The sequence below is a fragment of the Homo sapiens genome, chromosome 4 (genome assembly GCF_000001405.40).
Source record: "Homo sapiens chromosome 4, GRCh38.p14 Primary Assembly".
Taxonomy (NCBI): Eukaryota; Metazoa; Chordata; class Mammalia; order Primates; family Hominidae; genus Homo; species Homo sapiens.
In genome coordinates, this window is record NC_000004.12 from 1,686,386 (window position 1) to 1,713,878 (window position 27,493).

At 48.3% G+C, this 27,493-nt stretch overlaps 1 protein-coding gene across 3 annotated transcripts, besides 4 other annotated features; it reads right to left on the minus strand.

The window, feature by feature from the left end:
- Positions 1–6,345: 6,345 nt before the first annotated feature.
- Positions 6,346–25,934, minus strand: SLBP (stem-loop histone mRNA binding protein). Of its 3 annotated transcripts, NM_006527.4 has the most exons (8): positions 25,745–25,934; positions 25,489–25,605; positions 17,211–17,315; positions 13,626–13,685; positions 13,179–13,316; positions 9,817–9,966; positions 8,389–8,455; positions 6,346–7,328 (listed from the first exon to the last, which is right to left on the minus strand). In NM_006527.4, the coding sequence occupies exons 1-8, from the start codon at positions 25,801–25,803 to the stop codon at positions 7,212–7,214; spliced, it is 813 nt and encodes a 270-aa protein (NP_006518.1). In that variant the 5' UTR covers positions 25,804–25,934; the 3' UTR covers positions 6,346–7,211. The 3 variants fall into 3 exon arrangements, with proteins under 3 accessions (NP_006518.1, NP_001293004.1, NP_001293003.1); NM_001306075.2 differs by lacking the exon at positions 25,489–25,605; NM_001306074.2 differs by lacking the exon at positions 17,211–17,315.
- Positions 19,870–20,370: an enhancer, noted in NCBI's record as "H3K4me1 hESC enhancer chr4:1707982-1708482 (GRCh37/hg19 assembly coordinates)". NCBI's record gives its function as "activates a minimal SCP1, AML or CMV promoter by ChIP-STARR-seq in primed H9 embryonic stem cells {active_cell/tissue: H9 hESC(primed)}" and the evidence as "EXISTENCE:reporter gene assay evidence [ECO:0000049][PMID:30033119]".
- Positions 25,311–25,430: a silencer, noted in NCBI's record as "silent region_15138". NCBI's record gives its function as "represses an Ori minimal core promoter by ATAC-STARR-seq in GM12878 lymphoblastoid cells {active_cell/tissue: GM12878}" and the evidence as "EXISTENCE:reporter gene assay evidence [ECO:0000049][PMID:35858748]".
- Positions 25,441–26,350: a silencer, noted in NCBI's record as "silent region_15139". NCBI's record gives its function as "represses an Ori minimal core promoter by ATAC-STARR-seq in GM12878 lymphoblastoid cells {active_cell/tissue: GM12878}" and the evidence as "EXISTENCE:reporter gene assay evidence [ECO:0000049][PMID:35858748]".
- Positions 26,481–26,770: an enhancer, noted in NCBI's record as "active region_21155". NCBI's record gives its function as "activates an Ori minimal core promoter by ATAC-STARR-seq in GM12878 lymphoblastoid cells {active_cell/tissue: GM12878}" and the evidence as "EXISTENCE:reporter gene assay evidence [ECO:0000049][PMID:35858748]".

The following is a 27,493-nucleotide window of genomic DNA, read 5'->3' on the forward strand; positions in this document are numbered from 1 at the left end:
CCATTTGCCTTGATGATCTCCATAAAACCGAAAAGCATTTCAAAGCCCTCCTACAGGGCAGATTACAGGGACACACTTGCTGGCCAGAGATGGTTGCTGGGTCTCAGGGCTTAGACCTCTCCCTTATGTGAGAGGAGTCAGATCAGGGCCGTGTTTCAGGCTGCTGTGGGGCAGTTGGCCTGCCGTGGCTGAGGGTCAGTCATCACAGTGCTGTGTAGCTAGCCCTTGCTGTGGACTAGCCCACGGGAAGGTGTTGGAATCCTCCCCATTTTACAGATAAGGAAGCTGAGCCTCAGAGCAAAGGGGTTTGTCCCACCATAGTGACAGTCTGTGGCTTTGCCACCACCTGCTCTCCTGATGGCCCTCTGAGAATGCTACCTGCTCCCATACAGGAGAAGCCGCCTTGTGTCAGGTCCATGGTGGTCTGGCGTTGATGAAGCCCTGAAGGGAAGGGCGGGGCTGGCCTGGTGCCCATGCCTTTCTGGTGCTGCAGGGCTGTTCTGGGCAGGTTCCCCAAAGCCACTGGGATGGGGCTGGCTTGGGTAGCAGGGACCCTAGGATAGGGCTGACCAAGTCTCCCTTGCCTGACTCTGGGACTGAAGAAACACTATCACAAAAGGTCACATGCTGGATGATTCCGTTTACATGCAATGTCCGGAATAGGCAAATAACAAGTGGATGCGCGAGTCTGGGGGGAATGGGGAGCAACTGCCTACTGGGTACAGGGTCTCCTTTTGAGGTGATGAAAATGTTTTGAAACTAGATAGAGGGAGTGGCCACACAACATTATGAATGTATCAATGCCACTACGTTGTATGCTTTAAGTGGTTTATTGTATATTAATTTCACCTCCATAAAAACTAACAAGACCAGGCGCGGTGGCTCACACCTGTAATCCCAGCACTTTGGGAGACCGAGGCGGGTGGATCATGAGGTCAGGAGTTCGAGATCAGCCTGGCCAAGATGGTGAAACCCCATCTCTACTAAAAATAGAATAATTAGCCGGACGCAGTGGCGGGCGCCTGTAATCCCAGCTACTCCAGAGGCTGAGGCAAGAGAATCGCTTGAACCCAGGAGGCAGAGGTTGCAGTGAGCCGAGATGGTGTCACTGCACTCTAGCCTGGGTGACAGAGCAAGATTCCATCTCAAAAAAAAAAAAAAAAAACTAACAAAAGGATCAGGAATTAACAAAAAGGATCTGGAAGCCATCTTGGCAAAGATTTCACAAAAGTGGTTATGTGTGCAGAGGCTTTATGTTATTTTCTATACTCTTCTGTATACCTCATGTATCTTTCACAATTTAAAAAAATTAAAGGCAAGGTGGCTCACACCTATTTCCTTATAGTTTTTTTAATCTACTTGTTCTATCAATTACTGAGGGAGCAGTGTTGAAATCTCCGAATGTAATTGTGGATTTGTCTTTTTTTTTTTTTTTTTTTTTTTGATACAGAGTCTCGCTCTGTCGCCCAGGCTGGAGTACAGTGGTGCGATCTCAGCTCACTGCAAGCTCCGCCTCCCGGGTTCACGCCATTCTCCTGCCTCAGCCTCTGGAGTAGCTGGGACGACAGGCGCTCGCCACCACACCTGGCTAATTTTTGTATTTTTTTAGTAGAGACGGGGTTTCACCGTGTTAGCCAGGATGGTCTCGATCTCCTGACCTCGTGATCCGCCCGCCTTGGCCTCCCAAAGTGCTGGGATTACAGGTGTGAGCCACCGCGTCCGGACCTTTTCATTCTTTTAACGGTATTTGGCAGAACCAAAGTTTTTATTTATTTATTTTTTGAGACAGGGTCTCACTCTGTCACCCAGGATGGGATGCACTGGTGTGATCGTAGTTCACTGCAGCCTCAAACTCCTGAGCTTAAGGGATCCTCCCACCTCAGCCTCCGGAGTAGCTGGGACTACAGGTCTGTGCCACCATGCCCAGCTAATTTTTATTTATTTATTTATTTATTTTTGAGACGGACTTTCACTCTTGTTGCCCAGGCTGGAGTAGAATGGCGCGATCTCGGCTCACCACAACCTCCACCTCCCAGGTTCAAGCGATTCTCCTGCCTCATCCTCTTGAGTAGCTAGGATTACAGGCATGCACCACCACACCCGGCTAATTTTGCATACAGACGGGGTTTCTCCATGTTGGTCAGGCTGGTCTCAAACTCCTGACCTCAGGTGATCCGCCCGCCTCAGCCTCCCAAAGTCCTAGGATTACAGGCATGAGCCACTGTGCCCAACCAGGCTAATTTTATTTTTATTTTTTTAGACGGAGTTTCGGTCTTCTTGTCCCGGCTGGAGTGCAATGGCACGATCTTGGCTCACTGCAACCTCCAACTCCCGGGTTCAAGCAATTCTCCTGCCTCAGCCTTCCCAGTAGCTGGGATTACAAGCATGCGCCACCATGCCTAGCTAATTTTGTATTTTCAGTAGAGACGGGGTTTCTTCATGTTGGTCAAACTGGTCTCAAACTCCCAACCTCAGGTGATCTGCCCACCTTGGCCTCCCAAAGTGCTGGGATTACAGGCGTGAGCCACCGCACCTGGTCCAGCTAATTTTTAAAAATTTTTTTGTAGAGATGGGATCTTGCCATGTTGCCAGGGCTGATCTCAAACTCATGGCCTCAAGCCATCCTCCTACCTCAGCCTCCCAAAGTGCTGGGATTACAGGCATGAGCCACCATGCCTAGCCACAAGTTTTTAATTTTGATGAAGCCCAATTTGTCCATTTTTCCTGTTATGGATTGTGATTCTGCTGTCCAGTCTATAAACTCTGCCTAGCCCTAGATGCCAACAATTTTCTGCAAGTTTTATATTTTACACTTTACATTTAAGCCTGTGATCCATTTTGAGTTAATTTTTCTATAAGATGTGAGACTTAGGTTGAGGCTTGCATTTTTGCTCTTGGATTTTGCTCCAGCCAATCTAGCACATTTGTTGAAAATACCATCCTTCTCCACTGAATTTTTTTTTTTTTTTTTTTTTTTTTTTGAGACAGAGTCTCACTCATCACCCAGGCTGGAGTGCGGTGGCGCGATCTCAGCTCACTGCAAGCTCCACCTCCCGGGTTCACGCCATTCTCCTGCCTCAGCCTCCTGAGTAGCTGGGACTACAGGCACCCGCCACCATGCCCAGCTAATTTGTTGTATTTTTAGTAGAGACGGGGTTTCACTGTGTTAGCCATGATGGTCTCGATCTCCTGACCCCGTGATCTGCCTGTGTTGGCCTCCAAAAGTGCTGGGATTACAGGCGTGAGCCACCACGCCCGGCCTCTCCACTGAATTTCTTTTGCACCTTTGCAAAAGTCAGTTTGCCAGACTTTTGTGGGTCTATTTCTGGGTTCTGTGTCCTGCTCCACTGATCTGTCTATCCCTCCACCGACACCACAGTCCTGATGTCATATAACCCTTGAAAAAGATAAGCTCATTCTATTCACCTTGTTCTTTTTCAAAACTTTCAACTATTCTAGTTCCTTTACATTCGCATAAATTTTAGAACCATCATCTACAAAAAATATTGCTGAGATTTTGATAGGAATTCCATTGTAACTACATACATCCATTTAGAAGAACTGACAATTTTTTTTTTTTTTTTGAGACGGAGTCTCGCTTTGTCACGCAGACTTGAGTGTACTGGTGCAATCTCGGCACACTGCAACCTCCGCCTCCCAGGTTCAAGCGATTCTCCTGCCTCCGCTTCCTGAGTAGCTGGGACTACAGGCGCACACCACCATGCTCAGCTAATTTTTTGTATTTTTAGTAGAGACAGGGTTTCATCATCTTGGCCAGGCTGGTCTTGAACTCCTGACCTCAGGTGATCCACCTGTCTTGGCCTCCCAAAGTGCTGGGATTACAATGTAAGCCACTGCACCTGGCAAAAATTGTTTTTTTTTTTTTTTTTGAGATGGAGTTTTACTCTTGTTGTTCAGGCTGGAGTGCAATGGCACAATCTAGGCTCACCACAACCTCCGCCTCCCAGGTTCAAGCGATTCTCCTGCCTCAGCCTCTCAAGTAGCTGGGATTACAGGCACGCGCCACCACACCTGGCTAGTTTTGTATTTTAGTAGAGATGATGTTTCTCCGTGTTGGTCAGGGTGGTCTCAAACTCCCCACCTCAGGTGATCCGCCCACCTCAGCCTCCCAAAGTGCTGGGATTACAGGCATGAGCCACTGCGCCCGGCCCAAGAATTGACATCTATATTGAGTCTTCCAATCCATGAACAAGTTACATTTCTCCACTTACTAGATCTTTGTTTCATCAGGGTTGTGCCGTTTTCAGCATACAGGTCCCATACATGTGTTGTTAGATTTGAAACTAAGCATTCTAGTTTAAAAAGCCCAGAATCTCACCTGAATCCACTGCCTTGTGGAGGAGGCTCCTGACAGCTCCTGTGTTGAGCCTCTCTCCATGTAAAGACTGTCCCCAGCCCCCACCACACACATGCACACACACACACACACACACCCCCACCGCAATGAACAGCGGGGACAGACCTAGGACACCTGCTGCAAATGCTCCCAGGAGTCCCTGGCCCACAGCAAGTCTGAAATCCAGCTGGGCACACATCACCTGGCAGTCCCCTAAGCCAGCCTCAGTCCTCCAGGCTCCTGGCTCCATCTCTGAATTATCCTTCTTTTTCACAAAAGGCAGCCTGTGTTTGCAGCTGGAGAGTTTTATCTTCCTACTTCCCGCTGGTAGGAACCTGAGGGTTCAAGGCCTCTTGTATTGCCTGGCCCTTTCAGTCCAGCCTGGCAGCAGCTTCCGCCCATGTTAATTCTGTGACTCTTAATAGGGTTCAGTTCATTAGAAGCCACACCTGTGGGGCTTTTCAGACTAGCACCATCTTGGGCTCCTGCAGAGGAGCAAGAAGTCTTATTGAGGGAAAGAAAGGTTCTAACAGCTGGGCGCGGTGGCTTACACCTGTAATCCTAGCACCTTGGGAGGCCGAGGAGGGCAGATCGCCTGAGGTCAAGACCAGCGTGGCCAACATGGCGAAACCCCAACTCTACTAAAACTACAACAATTGGCCAGGTGTGGTGGTTCACGCCTGTAATCCCAGCTACTCAGGAGACAGGCAGGAGAATTGCTTGAGCCAAAGGAGGTGGAGGTTGCAGTGAGCTGAAGGCACACCACTGCACTCCAGTGAAAAGAGAGAGAAAGGTTCAACTTTCTATGGTTAACAGAGGATTTCATGCCACACCCTCAGCTTTAGCTTAGATCACCTTTCCAGCTGTCTTCTGGATGTCATTTTTGCTTGGAAGCCACTGAATTTTAGCCTAAGAGCACTGAGTGCTGCTCATCGCTAAGGACCTGCTCACAGTTTAGGGGAAGTAGCTCCTTAGTGACAAACCCAGGAGAGCTGCTCTCCGTCAGTCATGATGGAGGCCACAGCACCACTGAACTGTCACCATCTAACAAGGACCTTCACCTCTGCCTTCTCAAGACTGAGGCTTGCAGTCAGGCCCCCAGAACTCCTCCCACATTTTAGGACTCTTGAAGTCAATGCTGAGTGCTCCCACTTCGTGGCCTCTGCTTGCTGCCCTCCCCAGATGTCACCTTTTATCAGGCACCTCCTACCACCCTGAAAGAGCTGGGTCTCCTCACCAGGGCATGTGCTACAACCCCAGTGTCTACCACCCTCCACCTGACACTGCTTGAGGTCTCCATAAACAAGCTAAGTAAACAAGAGCTTCTGCCCTCTTCAAGCTCCTAGAACAAAGTTACCTGAGCCCATCCCTGGCTTAAGACCAGCCCAGCATCACTTGGAGGGATCTCCGGGACAGGTCGCTGTGGCGTGGACTAGTGGTCACGTCTGCAGGCAGCAACCACGGTCCAAGGGTGAAGGCAGTGGGAGCAGGGCACCCTCAGACTGATGATTATCCTGCTGCAGGGTCTCTCCCAAGAGACAGGGAAGGCTGTCATGCCAGTGCTGATGAATAAGCATCAGACCAAATGTGACATGTGACACCTATTAAAGAAGGCCCCCGGCCACACGCAGTGGCTCAAACCTGTAATCCCAGCACGTTGGGAGGCCGAGGCAGGCAGATCACTTGAGGTCGGGAGATCGAGACCAGCCTGACCAGCATGGAGAAATCCTGTCTCTACTAAAAATACAAAATTAGCTGCGTGTGGTGGCACATACCTGTAATTTCAGCTACTTGGGAGGCTGAGGCAGAAGAATCGCTTGAACCCGGGAGACAGAGGTTGTAGTGGGCCATGATTGCACCATTGCACTCCAGCCTGGGCAACAAGAGCGAAACTCTCAAAAAATAAAATTAAAAAAATAAAGAAGGCCCTTTACCCAGCGCCACTCACTGAGTGCCACTTGCTTCAGACACAAGAAAGGCAGACACAATTCTGACCCTCCAAACATGTCAGCTCTCACGGCAGCTGGCCCACCTGGCAACAGCCCCAGTCAGTGAAAGAGGGTTCTTTCCTTTTTATTTTTGCAATATCCCATACAAAAGCAATAGAAACGTAACAGTCTTAACAAGAAGTTTACAATTGAATATTTGAACAGAAAATCTGTACACATTATCATTTACAGCAATTTTACATGGTAAATTAACTGATTGTTTTAAAATGTTCTTTCTAAATCGCTCCACTCTGCTGCCCTAACTCTTGGAGTATTCTAAAGAGTCTAACTAGTGCTATTTACAAGTACCAAATTAAGACCATATAACTTACATAAAACTCATTAGTTTAATAGCTCAATTTAACAATGTCTGACTTCAGAATGCTGTTATGACATATTGATAAAAGGCCAAAAATTAAGTTTCCATAAAGATATTAAAGGTGTCTGAGAATACTTTGATGCCTATAAAAGTAGCTGACTCTCAATTGGTCCCATGGATTACATGGTTAAATCCAAAACAGTCCACCTGACAAGCAATAACTGAAGATGCCTGTGGAAAACCAGTTATGTAGACGTGTCAGCTTACCCTGGAGGACAACAGGGATTACGCAATTAAGCTCGCTGGAAGAGAGCTTCAAGTACTTTCTTGGACTTAGCTCCATTTACAATTTAAAACATGCAAAATATACTCACTATACATAAAATTAATGTTTCTTAAGAAAGTAAGGCAAAAATAATTCAGCATGAGCTAATGGACTGCTAACAGAGAAACCACCAGGTACAAGTGCACACACATGCTTGGTGCCTGGCCAGCCTTCCACCTAGTCGGGGAGGAGCTGTTTCTCTTCCTGGCCGCCAGGGGGCAGTTAGCTCATGGCTGAGAAGTCTCTCAAGGGTTCAGTTAAACAAGCTTCCAAATCAAACTCATCCTCCACTTGACTGTCCATGTGTCTCACCTTGGTGGGTGTGCCAGAGTACACATCCTGGAAAACAGAAGCATGGCTCGGTTGACATTCATCTCACCCTGAAAACAGGGGCCCCTTCCTACACCCCACTCCTTATGTGGTAAATCATGTGATGTAATGCACAGCAAGGTGTACACTTCACGTGCAACTGAGACAGATTTTAATAATAACACTGCAAAGAGAAACCACATGTACCATTTACAAGACACTGACGTTTAGATGTGCACACATCCCATTGTGCTGGGATTACAGGAAGGAGTCACTAGTCACTGTGCCTGGCCATGTACATAGTTTATAAGCACAGAAAGAATTGTAAAAGCCTAGACAAAACCACAAATAGTGGCTGTCTCAGGACAGGAGACAGTATTTAAACTGATACATTTAAAAACGGTTTTCTTTTCTCTTGAGACAGAGTCTCACTCTGTCACACAGGGTGGAGGGCAGTGGTACAATTTCGGCTCATTGCCACCTCTGCCTCCCGGGTTCAAGTGATTCTCCTGCCTCAGCCTCCTGAGTAGCTGGGATTACATGCCTGCATGACCACACCCAGCTAGTTTTTGTATTTTTAGTAGAGACTGGGTTTCACTATGTTGGGCAGGCTGGTCTTGAACTCCTGACTTCAGGTGATCTGCCTGCCTCAGCCTCCCAAAGTGCTGGGATCACAGGCGTGAGCCACCACGCGCAGCACATGGTTTTCTTTCTTTTTTTTTTTTTGAGACAGAGTCTTGCTCTGTTGCCCAGGCTGGAGTGCAATGGCGCCATCTCAGCTCACTGCAACCTCCACCTCCTGGGTTCAAGCTATTCTCCCACCTCAGCCTCCTGAGTAGCACGGACTACAGGCACCCACCATCATACCTGGCTATTATTTGTATTTTTGTAGAAACAGGGTTTCACCATGTTGGCCAGGCTAGTCTTGAATTCCTGACTTCAGGTGATCCGCCTGCCTTGGCCTCCCAAGGTGCTGGGATTACAGGCGTGAGCCACCGTGCCCAGTCCAAACTTCAGTTTATAAGGCAGCATGTGTTATTAACAATTCACCTGCAACCCCCAAGCTGAAAGACTTATCCAAAGTACTTACAAAGTCATCCTGAGAGCTGGTCTGGGGCTCGGAGCTGCTTTCTGCAGATTCAAGGTCTACAGGGTGTCTGTTAAACAAGATCCAACATGTGCGTCAGGCACTAACTTAACAAAGCCAGGAGACGGGGCGCTACAGACAAACCCCATCCATATGGTACAGCCACAACACTGACAGTGTGCCCGAGGCTCCCTGAGGGGTCAGCTTTCAGTGACTATTTGACAGACTTAATCCCAGCCCAATCAATCCAGCAAAGAGAAAGCGGATGGCAATGAGAAGCAACAAAAAGATCTGCTGGGCTCACCACACAAGCATCCTTGGAAACAGAAACACTCATAAGCCCAATTTTTGAGGGGGAGAAATGAGCACTGTGATGAACATACTATGCATTATCACTAATTTTTCCAAGTTTCTACTCAGAGAATGGGACAATGGTGTCACACTGGGGGAAAAAACCCAAATGACATCTGTCAGGACAAACTGGTAAAGCCACTTACAATCGTTTCAAACATGCCAGTCTCTAAAAAATTTCCCAGCACAGAGGAGAAACTCTAATTGTTTGTTTAAAGAATGTGTCTGAGGAAGCGAGAGGCTCAGGACCAGAGGGGAGCTGAGAAGAAACCCCACATAGAGGGAGGGAGGTACACGATCATTCTCTCTACCTTCCTGGTCAGCAGGTATTGCCATGATGCAGCAAAAGTTCAGGCCTGAGACATTTCAACTAGGCACAAGTTTAAAGGCCAACGGGGCTGGGAGCAGTGGCTCACCCCTGTAATCCCAGCACTTTGGGAGGCTGAGGCGGGTAGATCACAAGGTCAGGAATTACATGGTGAAACCCCGTCTCCACTAAAAATACAAAAAATAGCTGGGCGTGGTGGCGCGTGCCTGTAATCCCAGCTACTCAGGAGGCTGAGGCAGGAGAACCACCTGAACCCAGAAGGTGAAGGTTGCAGTGAGCCGGGATCACGCCACTGCACTCCAGCCTCGGTGACAGAGCATCTCCCAAAAAAAAAAAGCCAACAGAGAAAGAAAGCCTTCCTTCCTTAATTAAGAACTTTTATTTTCATGGTTGAGCCGAAATGACTCAAATACTTTTTAGGATATTTATATTTAAAAAACAAATTCCAGAGATTATTGTAATTTTTAGGGGAAAAACAACTACAACAACAAAAACAGCAAAACAACAAACAAAAACTGTATTCCCAGATTGACTTTGCTTGAAAAAATAAATTCAATCCAGGAAGCAAACTCTTCCTTCCAGCTGCCTCCCTCCCAGTACAGAAGAACTCAGCACCGAGCTGCAGCAGCTGCTCTGCTCCCCAACAGCTGCTGGGGGACTTGGCACCAGACCTCCTGTCCCAGTGGTGCGCAGCTGCTCCAGTCACTGGACCAATCAGAGAATCACAGGACAAGAATGCAATAAAGACATACATTTCTTGCAAATCACATCCTTCTTCCGCTGGAGGATCCCAAAAATGCAGAGCCACCTTCCAGAGTTTGATTTGCTGGTCCCATGAACGTCGACTATACTTCTTAAATTTATTAGGGGTCTTGGGATGAATGCCAGGTTGTCGAAGGTGTCTACAGGAGAAAGATTATTCTAGCACATGCCCACATGCCACTCACATTTCCACATTAGCCTGAAGATTAACCAAACTATGAGATTAGTATTATTTTAAATATTACAGATCACCAGGCATGGTGGCTCATGCCTGTAATCCTAGCATTTTGGGAGGTCATGCCAAGATCACTTAAGCTCAGGAATTTAAAAATGGCCTGGGCAACACAGTGAGACCTCGTCTCTATTTAAAAAAAACAACAAAACAGAACAAAAAAACAGCTAGGGGCTGGGAGCGGTGGCTCACACCTATAATCCTAGCATTTTGGGAGGCCAAGGTGGGTGGATCACCTGAGGTCAGCAGTTCGAGACCAGCTTGGCCAACATGGTGAAACCCCGTCTCTACTAAAAATGCAAAAATTAGCCGGGCGTGGTGGCCTGTGCCTGTAATCCTAGCTATTAGGGGGCTGAGGGAGGAGGATCGCCTGAACCCGGGAGGCAGAGCTTGCAGTGAGCCGAGATCGTGCCACTGCACTCCAGCATGGGCAACACAGCGAGACTTCACCTCCAAAAAAAAAAAAAACAAACGCTGCTGGGTGTGGCAAATCACTTGAACTCAAGAGCCTGAGATCAGGCTGGCCAACATGATGAAACCTCATCTCTACTAAAAATACCAAAAATTAGCCAGTCATGGTGGCTTATGCCTTGAGTCCCAGCTACTCCAGCGGCTGAGGCAGAAGAATTGCTTGAACCTGGGAGGCGATGGTTGCAATGAGCCTAGATCATGCCACTGCAACTCCAGTCTGGTCAACAGAGCAAGACTCCACCTTAAAAAAAAAAAAAAAAAAAAAAAAAAAAAGCCGGGCACAGTGGTTCACGCTGTAATCCCAGCACTTTGGGAGGCTGAGGCAGGCAGATCACCTGAGATCAGAAGTTCAAGACCAGCCTGGCCAACAGGGTGAAACCCTGTCTCCACTAAAAATACAAAAAACTAGCCAGGCGTGGTGGTAGACACCTGTAATCCCAGCTACTCGGGAGGCTGAGGCAGGAGAATCACTTGAACCCATGAGGCGGAGGTTGCAGTGAGCCAAAATCGTGCCACTGCACTCCAGCCTGGTGACAGAGGGAGACTCCGTCTCAAAAATAAATAAATAAATAAAAAATCAACTGAGATCCTACAAAATGAACAAATATGTTTAAAAAAATTAAAAAATTAAAAAGCACTATCCGGGCCGGGTGCGGTGGCTCACACCTGTAATCCCAGCACTTTGGGAGGCCGAGGCAGGCAGATCACCCAAAGTCAGGAGTTCGAGACCAGCCTGACCAACATGGAGAAACACCATCTGTACTAAAAATACAAAAAAATTAGCCCAGGCATGGTGGCGCATGCCTGTAATTCCAGCTACTTGGGAGGCTGAGGCAGGAGAATCGCTTGAACCTGGGAGGCGGAGGTTGCGGTGAGCCAAGATTGCACCATTGTACTCCAGCCTGGACTAGAGTGAAACTCGGTCTCAAAAAAATCACTATCCGCTGGGCACAGTGGCTCACGCTTGTAATCACAGTACTTTGGGAGGACTACTTGAGGCCAGGAGTTCAAGACCAGCCTGGGCGACATAGGGAGACTCCCATCTCTATAAAAATTTAAAAGTTTAGCCAGGTGTGGCGGCATGCACCGCTGGTCCCAGCTACTCAGGAGGTTGAGGTAGGAGGATTGCTTGAGGCCAGGAGTTAAGACTACAGTGAGCCATGATGGTTGGGCGTGGTGGCTCACCCCTGTAATCCCAGCACTGTGGGAGGCAGAGACAGACGGATCACGAGATCAGCAGTGCGAGACCAGCCTGGCCAATATGGTAAAACCCCATCTCTACTGAAAATACGAAAATTAACCAAGTGTGGTGGCAGGCGCCTGTGGAGGCTGAGGCAGGAGAATCGCTTGAACCCGAGAGGTGGAGTTGAAATTGCGCCACTGCACTCCAGCCTGGGCAACAGAGCAAGATTCCGTCTCAAAAAAATGAATACACAGTGAGACATGATATAACACTGCACTTCAGCCTAGGTAACAGCAAGACTCGGTCAGGAGGGAAAAAAAAAAGCACCATCACATTGAATCTTACTATTCCTTTGCCAGCTATGTTCCAAAAAAGTAAAAAAAAAAAAAAAAAATTGTTTTTTTTGAGATGGAGTCTTGCTCTGTGACCCAGGCTGGAGTGCAGTGGTGCAATCTCGGCTCACTGCAACCTCCTCCTCCCAGGTTCAAGTGATTCTCCTGCCTCAGCCTCCCGAGTAGCTGGGACTACAAATGTGTGCCACCACGCCCAGCAAATTTCTTGTATTTTTAGTAGAGACGGGGTTCCACCGTGTTAGCCAGGGTGGTCTCGATCTCCTGACCTCATGATCCGCACTCCTCGGCCTCCCAAAGTGCTGGGATTACAGGCATGAGCCACTGCACTCAGCCAAAAGTAAAATTTTTTTTTTTAAGAGACAAAGTCTCATACTCTGCAGCCCAGGCTGGAGTGCAGTGGTGTGATTAATGGTTCACTGTAACGTTGAATTCCTGGGCTGAAGCAGTTCTCCCACCTGTCTCCCAAGTAGCTGGGACTACAGGTGCAAACCACCACACCTGGCTAATTTTTAAATTTTTTGTAGAGATGAGGTCTCCTTATATTGCCCAGGCTAGTCTCCTGGCCTCAAGCAGTCCTCTCGGCCTCCCAAAGTGCTGGAATTACAAGCATGAGCCATTGCACCTGGCCCAGAAATGTAAATTTCAACCCCAATCCTGCCAAAAAGTTCAGGAAAACACTAAAGCTTTCTTTATATCCTTCTGTGTCTGTGTGTTTGAGGGACCAGGATAGGCAAGAACATGCTGCTTAAAGACAATAGGGCAATGCCAATTTTTTTTTCTCCAATTAGAATTTTACAATATTTAACTTGAACTTCATTTTTCCCCATCATGTATTTTAATAAGCTTACATCTATGATTGCTGACTCCTAAGAAATAAAATGTTATCTAACATTCAAAATTATATGAAAATGATTTTTAAAATCTTCATGTCTTTAGTTTTCCAGTTGCCAATCCATTCTTTATTTACGTCATAAGCCCCAGTAAGTCCCTATTAAATAGCTCTTAGCAGGTGTGAACTATCCCCAGCATCATTTGTACTACCCAATCTAAGCAACTCTTTAGAAACGCAATGCCACACAGCTTGTTCAAGACATGCCACTGAAACAAGACTACCTTGGGACTTCTTTAATATAACGATCGTAGGCAATTGTGTTCTTCCCATAGTTGATCTGCTTCTGTCTCCTCATTAGGACACTTTCATCTGTCTCAAAGTCAGCCGGCACAGTAGACATAGACTCCTTTGAATCAGAACTGAAAAAACAACAGATTAACAGAATAAGCCCTGCAATTAAGATCACCATGTATGTAAGGTAAGCCAAGAAAATGTCAAAACACAATAATGGAAGATTCACTCCAGATTCCCAACCATATGAATCCTAAATAGTCCGGAGACTGCATGTATGGGAATTTAGTACACAACAGATACAGTATTTCAAATTAGTGAAAAAGGTATTAATAAATGCTACTGCGACAGTCAGCATTTCTGACAGTCACAATTTTTTTTTTTTAACAAATTACAGGTCTATCAAATTAGAAAAGAAACATTTACACAGCCTTTACCTTCCTGATGATGATTTTCTCTCTCTTCCAAAGTCATTGATGAGGAGTTTCCTTTTATATCTGAGGGCAAAATAAATATTGCTGTTTTTAAAAAAGATATAAAAATAAAGCAGCCAGGTCTGAGGAAGCTCCACCCTGATGCCCGCAGGCACACCATCCTATGCAATCCAGAAGCTCCGTGGGCCAAAAGAAATCTTTGTCAGGTTCAGTTTAAGTAGTGAGATCCACACAACAAAAATTTACATTCCCTAAAACTTGGCAGCCTTAAAAAAAGAAAAACAAAACATAAATTGAAATAAATTATTTTAAAAACACCAAACTTACTAATGGGACTCATATGCCTACTGGGCACTGCATACCTTCTCCAATCCTGGAGACCAAACGTGCCCCCTTTTCTCTTGTTCCTCATGAACTTCCTGAGGCATCTGCTTTCTATTGCAGTCATTACCAGAACGCAGTTTTGCAAAAAAAAAAGTATGACATCTCCAAAAGGAGTCTAGCGCAATCTGACGTTGAAACCACGAGCTACCTTGAGCTCCAAGTTCATGTGAGTATCTTTTTTTTTTTGAGATGGGGTCTCACTCTGTCACCCAGGCTAGAGTACAGTAGCACGATCATGGCTTACCACAGCCTCATATTCCTGGGCTGAAGCAATCATCTCACCTCAGCCTCCCAAGCAGCTAGGACTCCAGGCAAGTGCCGCCACAACCATCTCCAAAAAAATTTTTTTCTTTTTTTGGAGACATGGAGGTCTGTGTTGCCCAGGCTGCTCTTGAACTCCTGAGCTCAAGCAATCCTCCCGCCTCAGCCTCTCAAAAGTACTGAGATCAGGAGTGAGCCACCACCCCTGGCCTGTCATGCAGGTATCTAAATTATGTCATGTATTACTGTGCCTCCTCTCAAAATCTAAAATCCACCCAAGTTTGCTGAGGTGTTCAGTGCAGTTTGGACGCCAGAAGGTAATGAAGTAATTTATCTCCCGTGCATCTAGAGTAGCACTGGCTATATAACACCATCTTTGTACGATTCAGAGATTAGTCCTGCAAATCATTTGCTGCAGGGCCTCATTCTCTCCAGTACCACAGATGAGAAAGACTGGTTTTCAGGTATGATGAAAATCCATTTTCTTTTTTTTCTTTTTTTTTTTTTTTTTGAGACGGAGTTCCCTCTTGTTGCCCAGACTGGAGTGCAATGGCGAGATCTCGGCTCAGTGCAACCTCCGCCTCCCGGGTCCAAGCGATTCTCCTGCCTCAGCCTCCTGAGTAGCTGAGATTACAGGTTGCTGCCACCACGCCTGGCTAATTTTTAGTATTTTTAGTAGAGACGGGGTTTCTCCATGTTCGTCAGGCTGGTCTCGAACTCCTGATCTCAGGTGATCCGCCCGCCTTGGCCTCCCAAAGTACTGCGATTACAGGTGTGAGCCACCATGCCATGCAGAAAATCCATTTTCATACTCTTATATTGCTAGTTTGTAGTCTGTTAGTCTCCTTAAAGCATAGTAAGCTGACATTTCATACCGCTCTTACTGTCAGGAAGTAAGCCGGCCTGTCAGTAATGGCTCACTAAAGGGCCAGCAGTTTAAATTACACAGGTTGCACTAAAAGCTGCAGCTTTGGCCAGGCAAGGTGGATCACGCCTATAATCCCAACACTTTGGGAGGCCGAGGCGGGCAAATCACCTGAGGTCAGGAGTTCAAGACCAGCCTGGCCAATATGGTGAAACCTAGCCTCTACTAAAAATACAAAAATTAGCCGGACGTGGTGGCACACAGCTATAATCCCAGCTACTCGAGAGGCTGAGGCAGGAGAATCGCTTGAACCTAGGAAGCGGAAGTTGCAGTGAGCTGAGATTGCATCATTACACTCCAGCCTGGGAAACAGAGCAAGACTCCATCTCAAAAAAATAAGTAAGTAAATAAAAGCCGTAGCTTTCCATCACAAAGGGTATAATCAACAGAGCAGCCCAAACAGTGCTGTTTTCCAAAACAGGACAATTTTCAGGCACAGACCCATGAGATATCTGAAGAACAAATAGGGTCCACTCACAGGACAATCTGGACAGGTGGAATACGCATGAATAAGAGCTGCAGATAACCCCTGGCAAGGGGTGACTTGAGGGAGCAACTAGGCTATCGGTATGCAAGAACTGTTCTAAGACTTGTGCATGCAACACAAACTATACAAGTCAAGTCAAACATTCTAATTTTATAATTGAGGAAGTCAAGACCTATATAAATGCAATAATTCACTAAAAACACTGGTACTCTCATCTGTGAACTCCTAGTTCATTTCTTCTACCAAGGCATACATCCACCCACACATTTTGATACCAGAAGAAATGACAAATAACTCCCCCAAATGTTCAATAACCAATTCCCACATATTCCCGTCCCTTTTCAAAGGAGGCTGATATAAATACCATCACTGGCTGCCAAAATGAAAACAGGTAGTCTAGGTATCGTTCCGCGGCTGACACGCAAGACACATTTTTCTTGAGACCCTGTTTATCAGCCACTTGTTGGCTAAAATTATCTTGTAAAATACTTCAACCAATTATGAGCCACATTTTAACTGGGTTTGAATAAACCCAGTCCTTGCAACTGGGTTTGAGTTAGACAACTCATCAAAAGAGAAAGGATCAACACACTGATAATCAAGGGAGATTAAACATGGTTAAGGATGCATTAGGTAATGAGTCAACGAAGACGAAGTAGCTTAGTTTGCAAGAACTTGGATACACACAACAATCTTGTGTGCAACTGCAAGAGGTTCACAGAATCCAAGTTTGAGACCTTTCCTTGTATGTTGGCATTTCTGAGCTGTTTGTTGCCTAAGCCAAGTGTCAATGTATTCCTTCATCTGGAGAGAGCACTCCATCTACTGTGCTGGGTTGTGTGAGCACCGCACACAGAAGGTCGGTGGTAACAAATGACTATAGTAAGTTCCTGATAGTTAGGCCGGGCACAGTGACTCATGCCTGTAATCCCAGCACTTTGGGAGGCCGAGGTGGGCGGATCAGGAGTTCAAGACCAGCCTGACAAACATAGTGAAACCCCATCTCTACAAAAAATACAAAAATTAGCCAGGCGTGGTGGCCTGTGCCTGTAATCTCAGCTACTCAGGAGGCTGAGGCAAGAGAATCGCTTGAACCCGGGAGGCAGAGGTTGCAGTGAGCCGAGATCTTGTCACTGTACTCCAGCCCGGGCAACAGAGCGAGACTGTCTCAAAAAAAAAAAAAAAAAAAGAAAGTTAGTTCTGATAGTCCTCCAGCCTGCAATCCAGCAGTAACACCATTGTGCACCTACTTCCACTCTTGGAAGGATTACCACCAAGAGGACAGTGGTCTTCAAGCTTGAAAGAGTGGACCCGCCTGGAGGGCTTTTCACAGGATGGCCAGGCCCCACCCCATTCGCAGGCCCAGGGAAGGGTCTGAGAATCTGTATTTCTAACAAGTTCCCAGGAAATGTTGATGCCTTTGGTCTGGAGCCCAGACCTTTGAAAACCACTGTTCTAAGACAAATATCAAATTTAATGTGTTACTGAAAACGCCACAGATTAACACTTCAAGGTGGTCCAAAATGTGTACCTTGCCATTTCTTTGTTAACTCTGGTCCTCATTTCATCTTCTTCAACTGCACTTGCCCAGTCAGAGCATCTGGAACGGGGTTTAGGGCCTTCAGGAGTGGTAAAGCTGCAATAAAAGGAAAATGCTACTGAACCATGACACATACTTTGTTTTCTTTCAAACTGTATGTCAAGAAATATTCAAAGGCTGGTGGGACACAGTGGCTTGTGCCTGTAATACCAGCACTTTGGAAACTGAGGTAGGAGGATCACTTGAACCCAGGAGTTCAAGACCAGCATGGGCAAGATAGTGAGACCTCATCTCTGTCCCCCACCCAAAAAAATAAAAGCATTATATCAGTGAACTATGTGTATCAAACCATACTAAACTGGAGTTTAGCAGGACAAAAGCAAACTAGATGTAGAACATAACCTATCAGCTGCATCTGTCTATCCAGGGCTGTCTTACTAGAGCAGAAGTCATGGAGCTCCTTGGCAGTGTGCCCACTGTGTTTGGGGGTCTAATAAAACCAACTAGATTTTAGACTTCAAACTAAATTATGATTCCTTTTGGGTGTCCACACTTCAGTAGTCCAGGGCTATCATATGGCTGAAATCAACTTATTTCGTTCATCTCTGGTATGTGTTTATAAAGTCATTAAGATGGGAGATTTGCTTCAAATTTTTGCAGTGTGTGTGGCAGTCAGAAAAACCCATATCTAGTTTTCAGCTTCAGTTCTGGCATTTCTATGGGTTAACCTTATCTCATTGATCCAACATCCGGCCTGATGCTGGAGCTTATGAAGTTGACTCTAAGAAGTTCAGAGAGTGTAGAGTTTCCCATCTTGTATTTAATTTGTCTCTATGCCATTAGTCCCAGCTTGAAGTCATTACCAATGTCAATGTTGACAGGATTGTGACAATATTGCCTTTCATAAAACCGACCACCAAAGAATTCCATTATTCTAACAAAGCCCGAGTTTCACAGATCGCGGGCACATCTAGACAGATGTGTGCATGCTTGACGGTGCAGAGCAACTACTCACTTCCAGCAACCTCGTGCTTCCCCTGGCTGGCCATACAGAGGGATTCGCTGTCATACTGAGAAGGCTCTGCAAGGTAAGTCTCTAATTGAGGCTATCTCAGGTGGGTGTTTCCGCTGTGTAGTCCCAAGCCTGTATCCATATAATAAAAGTGCAGGTCTGGCATTCCTCCAGGTTATCTGGCCAGTGTAGACTCCTCCATCTGAATATGAACCTCCAGGGTAAGAATTTTCCAGACATGTCTATACTAAACAGTATGATCCTGTACTTGCCAAATGTCTGCCTCCTCCTGTTCTGCACTGACCCATTCTTTTTTTTTTTTCTTTTTGAGACGGAGTCTCACTCTTGTTGCCAAGACTGCAGTGCAATGGCATGATCTCAGCTCACTGCAACCTCTGCCTCCCAGGTTCAAGCGATTCTCCTGCCTCAGCCTCCCGAGTAGCTGAAATTACAGGCATGAGCCACCACGTCCAGCTAATTTTGTATTTTTAATACAGGCTGAGTTTCTCCATGTTGGCCAGGCTGGTCTCGAACTCCTGACCTCAGGTGATCCACCTGCCTCGGCCTCCCAAAGTACTGGGATTATAGCTGTGAGCCACCGTACCCAGACTGCACTGACCCATCCTAATTCCTGTTAAGTGTGAGAAGAATTGTCTTCTGTTCTCTCTCCATTCTCATTCATGATGAGATTACTGATCCATTAACCAGTTGAGAAATGACTGATGCTGAAGAAATGGTATTCTATTGGCAAGGCTTATTAACAAACTTCTGATAATGAAGCAGGCTACCAAAAACTTATCCAGCCCACCCCAGGAGTGTTTGGATTTGATCATGGATGTAGCACACACCAAAATCACTAAGACTTTAGACTACTTGTTTTATTTTGTCAGATTATCATGGGACTGTCTTTAGTTCTGAATTATCTGTAAGTCTGAGTACTTCATAGAATTATAAAGCAGGTACAGCTGACACCTTCTCACCATGTTGTAAATATTTACTGAGACTGGGTACAGTACTGAGGGATGATAATCTTCTGATTTATCCAATGCTGACTGTCTACAGCAAATTGTCCACTCTGCAAATGGTCCTGTAACGTGTATGAATGTATTTCTGGGTGCCTTAGAAGTTGTCTTTTTCATGTGTGCTAATATGCAGTATTTATACATTGTGAGAAGTTGATTTTAATAAAAAGGTTGGAACGTCATCTCCAAAATAAATAAATACCCAAGCATGGTGGGGCGTGCCTGTAGTCCCAGCTACACAGGAGGCCCAGGCAGGAGGATCACTCTAGCCCAGGAGGTCAAGGCTGTGTGAGCCATGATCCTGGCACTGCACTCCAGTCTGGGCAACAGGGCAAGACCATATCTCAAAAAAATATATATGGTGGCAGAGGACAGTGGCTCATACTTGTAATCCCAGCACTTTGGGGACGCCGAGGCGGGTGGATGACCCAAGGTAAGGAGTTTGAGACCAGCCTGGCTAACATGGCGAAACCCCATCTCTAATAAAAATACAAAAATTAGCCAGGTGCAGTGGTGCGCACCAGTAGGCCCCAGCTACTAGGGAGGCTGAGGCAGGAGAACTGCTTGAACCCCAGAGACGGAGGTTGCAGTGAGCCGAAATTGCACCACTGCTCCTCCAGCCTCAGCAAGAGACTCCGTCTCAGAAAATAAATAAAATACAGAATAGCTAGCATATCCATTTACCTTTCGGGCGCATGTAATTAATAATTCAGAATGTTATGTACACTATGATTACAATGTGTATGGAGGAGTATATGTCAGAGTCCTTGCTGTGTCAGGACTCCGTCTACTGGCAAAGTACCCCCTGTGCTTGAGTTAAACCACATCCAGGAGCTCAGTTCCATCTCAAGTTCAAGATAGTCTTCAGTCAATATTGGGAAATTTATGGCCAGGCAGTGGCTCACTCCTGTAATCCTAGCACCTCGGGAGGCTGAGGCTGGCAGACTGCCTGGGCTCAGGAGTTCCAGACCAGCCAGGGCAACATGGTGAAACCCAGCGTCTACCAAAATACAAAAACTTGGCTAGGCGTGGCAGCGCGTGTCTGTAATCCCAGCTACTAGGGAGGCTGAGGCAGGAGAATCCCTTGGACCCAGGAGGTGGAAGTTGCAGTGATCCACCAGGCGGAGTTGCAGTGAGCCGAGATCGTGCACTGCACTCCAGCCTGGGGGAGAGAGACCCCGTCTCAAAAAATAAATGAATAAATAAATAATAGTCCGGGCGTGGTGGCTCACACCTGTAATCCCAGCACTTTGGGAGGCCGAGGTAGGTAGATCACCTGAGGTCAAGAGTTCAAGACCAGGCCGGGCGCAGTGGCTCACGCCTGTAATCCCAGCACTTTGGGAGGCCGAGGCGGGTGGATCATGAGGTCAGGAGATCGAGACCATCCTGGCTAACAAGGTGAAACCCCGTCTCTACTAAAAATACAAAAAATTAGCCGGGCGCGGTGGCGGGCGCCTGTAGTCCCAGCTACTGGGGAGGCTGAGGCAGGAGAATGGCGTGAACCCGGGAAGCGGAGCTTGCAGTGAGCCGAGATTGCGCCACTGCAGTCCGCAGTCCGGCCTGGGCGACAGAGCGAGACTCCGTCTCAAAAAAAAAAAAAAAAAAAAAAAAAAAAAAAAAAAAAAAAAAAAAAAAAAAAAAAAAAAAAAAAAAAAAAAAGAGTTCAAGACCAGCCTGGCTAACATGGTGAAACGCTGTCTCTACTAAAAATACAAAAATCAGCTGGGTGTGGTGGTGGGTGCCTATAATCCCAGCTACTCGGGAGGCTAAGGCAGGAGAATCACTTGAACCTGGGAGGTGGAGGTTGCACTCCAGCCTGGGCAACAGAACGAGATTCCATCTAAAAAAAATAATAATTAAAATTTAAAAAATAATAATCAGGAAATCCAAAAGCTTAAGGCTTCGAGCCCCAAATTCTGGCAGTTCAAATTGATGTATCTTATTTATACATCAGACATAAACTCACATTTTTATTTTTCTACCCCATTTTTCTGTTGATCACTACTGACATTAAAACTAGATACTGGGCCGGGTGCACAGGCTCATGCCTGTGACCCCAGCACTTTAGAAGGCTGAGGCGGGCGGATCACAAGATCGGGAGTTTGAGACCAGCCTGGCCAACATGATGAAACCCTGCCTCTACTAAAAATACAAAAATTAGGATAGGCATAGTGGCTCACACCTGTAATCCCAGCACTTTGGGAGGCTAAAGCAGGCTGATCACTAAGTCAGGAGTTCGAGACTAGCCTGACAAACATGGTGAAATCTAGTCTCTACTAAAAATACAAAAATTAGCCAGGCGTGGTGGTGCGCACCTGTAATCTCAGCTACTCAGGAGGCTGAGGCAGGAGAATTGCTTGAACCCGGGAGGCAGAGGTTGCAGTGAGCTGAGATCGCGCCACTGCACTCCAGCCTGGGCGACAGAGCAAGACTCTATCTCAAAAACGAAAAAAAAAAAAAAAAAATCAGGCGGGCGTGGTGGCGCATGCCTGTAGTCCCAGCTACTTGGAGGCTGAAGCAGGAGAACTGCTTGAACTTGGAAGGCAGAGGTTACAGTGAGGTGAGATCACACCACTGAACTCCAGCCTGGTTGACAGTTATGCCCCGTCACAAAAAAATACACTAGATACTAACTTTAATTACAACAAATAAGCAACCTATTTTAGCTGTAAACCAAATGCTGTGCTTTGAAAATGCAATTGCAGTAACAAATGAATAATCCTCTTATGTAATTATCATTTCTTCCCTTACAGTCACACAACTCAGATAAACTTAAATTGGATTTCTAAAAGTAAATTTCCAGATTCTAAAAATGGTAGAAAGTTATGAAATCAAATTAGGTAATTAACTGAAAATTAAATTGACTCAATAGAGGTTTGTCCAGGATTGGATACAAGCATCCTCACTAGTGTATCAAGAGGTTCAAGTCTGGGTCTGCCAACATAACAAATTCCTGAACTACAAGAATAATTTAAAGCCTGTGTATGTGAATGACCATATACTACATGCCATATTTTGGTATCTTTAAGTCCATTTCTTAGATTAAGTAGGTTATATTCATAATCTACCCTATCTTGGGACAACAAAGCCTAATTTTACACACTAAGCTAACAACCTTCCAAAGAGTACTTCTAGATCTTATCCATCAACGAGCTGGCTCTATTTGTCAGGTGCCTCCAGGCATTATCCACAATGTGCAAATACCAAGTGCAAAGGCCCTAGGACAGAAGCATTCCTATAGTTTGAGGAATGAGGACACCAAAAACTTCCATAACTTCTAAAGCACTGTAAGGATTTAATATTTTTATCTTCAGCTAAATGAGACCACTGGAGAGTTCAGAGCTTGATCTCAATAAGGTTTGTTTACCTTCCCTTCATATCTGGACCTAGGGCCTCTTCTGTACCCACCCGTAGACCCAAGTCTTTTGTCTTTTTTTTTTTTTTGAGACAGTTTCACTCTTATTGCCCAGGCTGGAAGGCAATGGCGTGATCTCGGCTCACCGCAACCTCCACCTCCTGGGTTCAAGGGATTCTCCTGCCTCAACCTCCCGAGTAGCTGGGATTACAGGCATGCGCCACCATGCCCGACTAATTTTGTATTTTTAGTAGAGATGGGGTGTTGGGAAAAAGGCTTATCGAGTGCCTGTATAAGCTGGCCATAAAAATATGGCACAGTAAGTTGTGAAAAGCCACAAGAGGCCTCTGAGGAGGAAAGCCTCCTAATTGCCATCATGTTCCCATGCTCAGAGCGAGACCTGCTCTCTTATCTGTAAACAGTGTTCAAGAAGAAAGACATTCCTTTAAAGCACTGGAATGTGGACAGATTTGCAGGCTCCTAGTTAAGCCCGCTCCCACTAGCTACTCTCCAATAAGTTAGATATGCTGTTTGAGCACAAAGGAGATTCATTGAAACCGCTATAATTACGCCTATGACGCCTGCCTCCCTTTCACTGTTTCACCCTGAACATCTACTTCTTTTTTTTTTTTTTTTGAGACGGAGTCTCGCTCTATTGCCCCAGCTGGAGTGTAGTGGGGCGATCTCGGCTCATCGCAAGCTCCGCCTCCCGGGTTCACACCATTCTCCTGCCTCAGCCTCCTGAGTAGCTGGGACTACAGGCGCCCGCTACCACGCCCGGCTAATTTTTTGTATTTTTAGTAGAGACGGGTTTTCACCGTGTTAGCCAGGATGGTCTCCATCTCCTGACCTCGTGATCCACCCGCCTTTTGCCAAGGCGCTGGGATTACAGGCATGAGCCACCGCGCCCGGCCTACTTCTTAAAGTGATTGTACTCAATAAATAGTGTGGAGACCGCAACTCCGGGCCTTTTGCAGCCTCCATTTTCCAACTGGTCCCCTGGCTCCCACCTTTATGAGCTCTTAACCTGTCTCTTCTCATTCCGGGTAAGTGTCGAGGCTGGTCCCCAACAATGGGGTTTCTCCATGTTAGTCAGGCTGGTGTCGAACTCCTGACCTCAGGTGATGGGCCCGCCTTGGCCTCCCAAAGTGCTGGGATTACAGGCAGGAGCCACTGCGCCCAGCCCCCTAGACCCAAGTCTCTAAATATCATCTCTATGTCCTGGTAACTCACTGTGCCTGAAGATGCCTCCCATGTAGACTCCTACACTCCGTTACCTTTCTTGACATCTCCTTTGCTTCTCTAAGCAGCTTCTCAAGCCTCACAACTTCCCATGCCTAGCTGCTCCAGCCCATCTTCTCTATCTTAGCAAATGGCCCCAATCAACAGCGTTCAGACCTAAAGGCTTGAGTCATTCTTGATGCCTCTTTCCTGTGTAAACCAAAAAGTGTCTGAGACAGGTCTCAATTGCTTTAGGAATTTAGCTAATGTTAAGGACATACCTAGAAGAACACGAAATTACAGAAAGAGTCTGTGGTCTGTGCCTTTCTCCAGAGATGACTGTCAGGGCTTCAATATTTAAAAGAGAAAAGTAGGTTGAAGGAGAAAGATCTACATGTTCCAAGAGAAAAGGAGCAGGTAGGGGAATAGTCAATTATGTATTCCTAGTGTGCTCAGTAAGTCGCCACTTAAAGTGAACAGAGTTCACCCGTGGAGATATTTAATCTTGTATCTGTAGGTATCTGCTTAGAAAAAAAAAAAGAAACACAAAGGTGGCCGGGCGCGGTGGCTCACACCTGTAATCCCAGCACTTTGGGTGGCCAAGGTGGGTGGATCACTTGAGGTCAGGAGTTCGACACCAGTCTGGTCAACATGGTGAAACCCTGTCTCTACTACAAATACAAAAAGTTAGCCGGGCGCGGTGGCATGCGCCTGTAATCCTAGCTGCTGGGGAGGCTGAGGCAGGAGAATCACTTGAACCCGGGAGGGGGAGGCTGCAGTGAGCCAAGATCGCGTCACCGCACTCCAGCCTGTGAGACAGAGTGAGACCCTGTCTTTAAAAAAAAAAAAAAAAAAAAAAAAGTAACGCAAAGGTAGTTTCTTGCATGATTCCGCGCTCAGCATAATTTTTTCCTTTTGGCACAGTGAAGTTGGGTCCGATTTTTTTTTTTCCTTTCACGCCTCCCATCCCCAACCCATCAGCAAGTCTCACAGGTCCTGCCTTCAGAAGCCTATCCCGAACCACGCATTTCCCTCCACCTTCACTGCTCCATCTCGGCCAAGTCACCACGCCTTTCAGGGAACTCAGGAGCAACAAGCCCCCAGTGCGGGACGAGCCACCCCAAAGCCCCTCGAGAAGTTTTCTCTAACCACAGCCCCGAAAAGCCCCGCCACTACGACCACTGGCACCCCTGCTTATTTCCTCCAGACCCTCCTCGGCCGTCCCACCCCATCAAGCCCTCCTTTCGCTCGCATCTCCACCCTCCCTGCACACTGCCTAACCCAGAAAATGGCCAAGCAGGTAAGCCCTGTCAACTCACTTCTCCTCGGGACTCGGGTGTCCCTGACTTCCACGTGTTCACGAGAAGCTCGTCAGAGACCCTGACCTCTCCCGGGAGCACAACACAGACTCGAACTGGCTAACTCGGGCTGACGCCGGTTCAGCTGACTCCCATCCTGGCAAGAGGCTTCCGGAGTGTTCCAGCGCCTCCCAGGCCTGCTGCGGCCGCCCCAGTCCACGGGCCGCGCGGAGACCAAGATAAAAGGACGCAGGGTGCCGACCTGACCGATCCCGGCACCGCGAGAGCGCGACGAGGTCCCTGGAGCCCGCGGCCTCGTCAAGGGCCCCACCGCGCCCCGACCCCCGGGTCCCGCGCCCACCTCTCGGGTCTGCGCTCGGCGCCGCGGTGCTCTGCCTCCTCGGCGTCTTCGGGCCTCCAGCGCCTGCCGTCGGCTCTGCGCTTCCGTCCCAGGCTCCATCGCGCGGGGGACGGCGGGCTGCGGGGAGGGACGCGGTCGGCTGGGCACGGGAGGTTCGGGACCGCCTTACAACCTCCGCCCTCCCACACCCCGGCCCCGCACAACCCCCGCCCCACGGGGCACGCGCTCCCTCGCCCGCCGCGCAGCCCGGCCTCACCTGGCGTCACCGTCGCAGCGGCTCTGATGCCTCGGCGGGCTTCGCGGGCGGCAGGCCATGGCAGCACGGGCCGGGCGCGCAGCGCAGGGCCGAGGCTGAGGCGGCGGCGGCGCGGGCAGAGAGCGCAGAGTAGAGCAGGGCAGGGCCTGAGGCAGAAACCCGCGTCCCCGCGCCGGCGCTCACGAGCTCTGCGCGCCCCGCCCCCAACCGCCTTTATGTGGGCGCCGGGCCCCGCCCCTCGGCCTCCCGCGCGCGCCGGGTCGGGCGAGACCATCGGGCCACGCCGCAGGGGTCCACTCAGCTGTGCGCGCCTCGCGAGCCGACTGGGGCTAGGGCGAGGCCTCGGGACCGCGGGCAGCCGCGAAGCCCGACTGCCCGGCCCTCGGCTCGGGAGCCAGATGGACGCCGTGGGCTGAGGAGAGGCCTGAGGAAAAGGTTGCCCCCACCCGCGGGATTGAGGCGGCCGGGCCGCCGCGGGCCTCTGCGACGCTGATAGGTCGCGCCTTGGCGGGCGGGGGCAGCTTTGGCGGGAGATTCGGCCGCGCGCGACGCGGCGCAGGTCGTGGGGGAAGGGTAAGCGGCACGTTTCTCGGCCTGGGTCGTGGCGCATCTCCCATTGGTTCCGGCCTGGGTGGAGCGCGGCTCTGCTTGGTTCCTGCCCAGGTGGGGGCGTGTCTCCTCCCTGGCGGGAACCCGGAACCCGGAACCCGGAAGGCGCGGCCTGTGGCGGGTACTGACTGCTTCCCACGGTCCCGTGGCCGCTGCAGGCCCCGTACGCGCCGTCTATTGTTTTGAGCCGCTTAAAGTTTTGGAGTAACCTTTTAGGTCGCAACAGTTGACAACTACACTGAGTCTTTCCGGTCCCACTGCCCTGGCCGTTGACCGCACACCGGCCACCGACTGAGCCGCTAGTTTCGGTTGCCGCTGCCTCCCTGCCCGTCCATGACGTCCTCCACTGTGTCGCCGGTGCATGACGCTCCCACCCTCTGCCTGGAGTTGACTGGGTTTGTATCCTGAAGAATCCCTGGCTCAGCAGGTAGGTTCCACCTGGAGGCGAGGTCCTGTAGATCCGCACCATCCCGTCCCGCTTCCCCGCCGTCACAGTTGCAGCTGACGGCCCCGCGGATCCAGCCAACTAGAACCCCAACGGGTGCACTACACCTGAGAACAGGTTCCCACAGCTTCCTGTTGGGGACAACGTGAGGGATGCAGGGGAGAGTGGAACCAGCCAAAAGAGTGGGCAGTGGGGTCAGGTCCAGGAGGCTGAGCCCCAGGGATGCTTGGGATCCCTCTAAGGCCTTACACCTCTGGGAGGGCCGGACTTTTGCACCTGCTGCCCTCAGGACTGTGCCTTGGTGCGTCCACCGCCCCCTTTTGAACTCAAAAAAGTCATCCTCAGACTAGGACGGACACATCCTGTCCCCTTCCTCCCCAGGCCCTGGGCATCCCATAACCCTCAACACTGTAAACTAAAAATAAAATCCTGGCAGGGCGCGGTGGCTCATGCCTGTAATTCCAACACTTTGGGAGGCCGAGGCGGGAGGATCATCTGAGGTTGGGAGTTCGAGACTAGCCTGACCAACATGGAGAAACCCTGTCTCTACTAAAAATACAAAATTAGCCTGGCATGGTGACGCATGCTTGTAATCCCAGCTACTCGGGTGGCTGAGGCAGGAGAATTGTTTGAACCCGGGAGGCAGTGGGCTAAGATTGCACCACTGTACTCCAACCTGGGCAACAAGAGCAGAA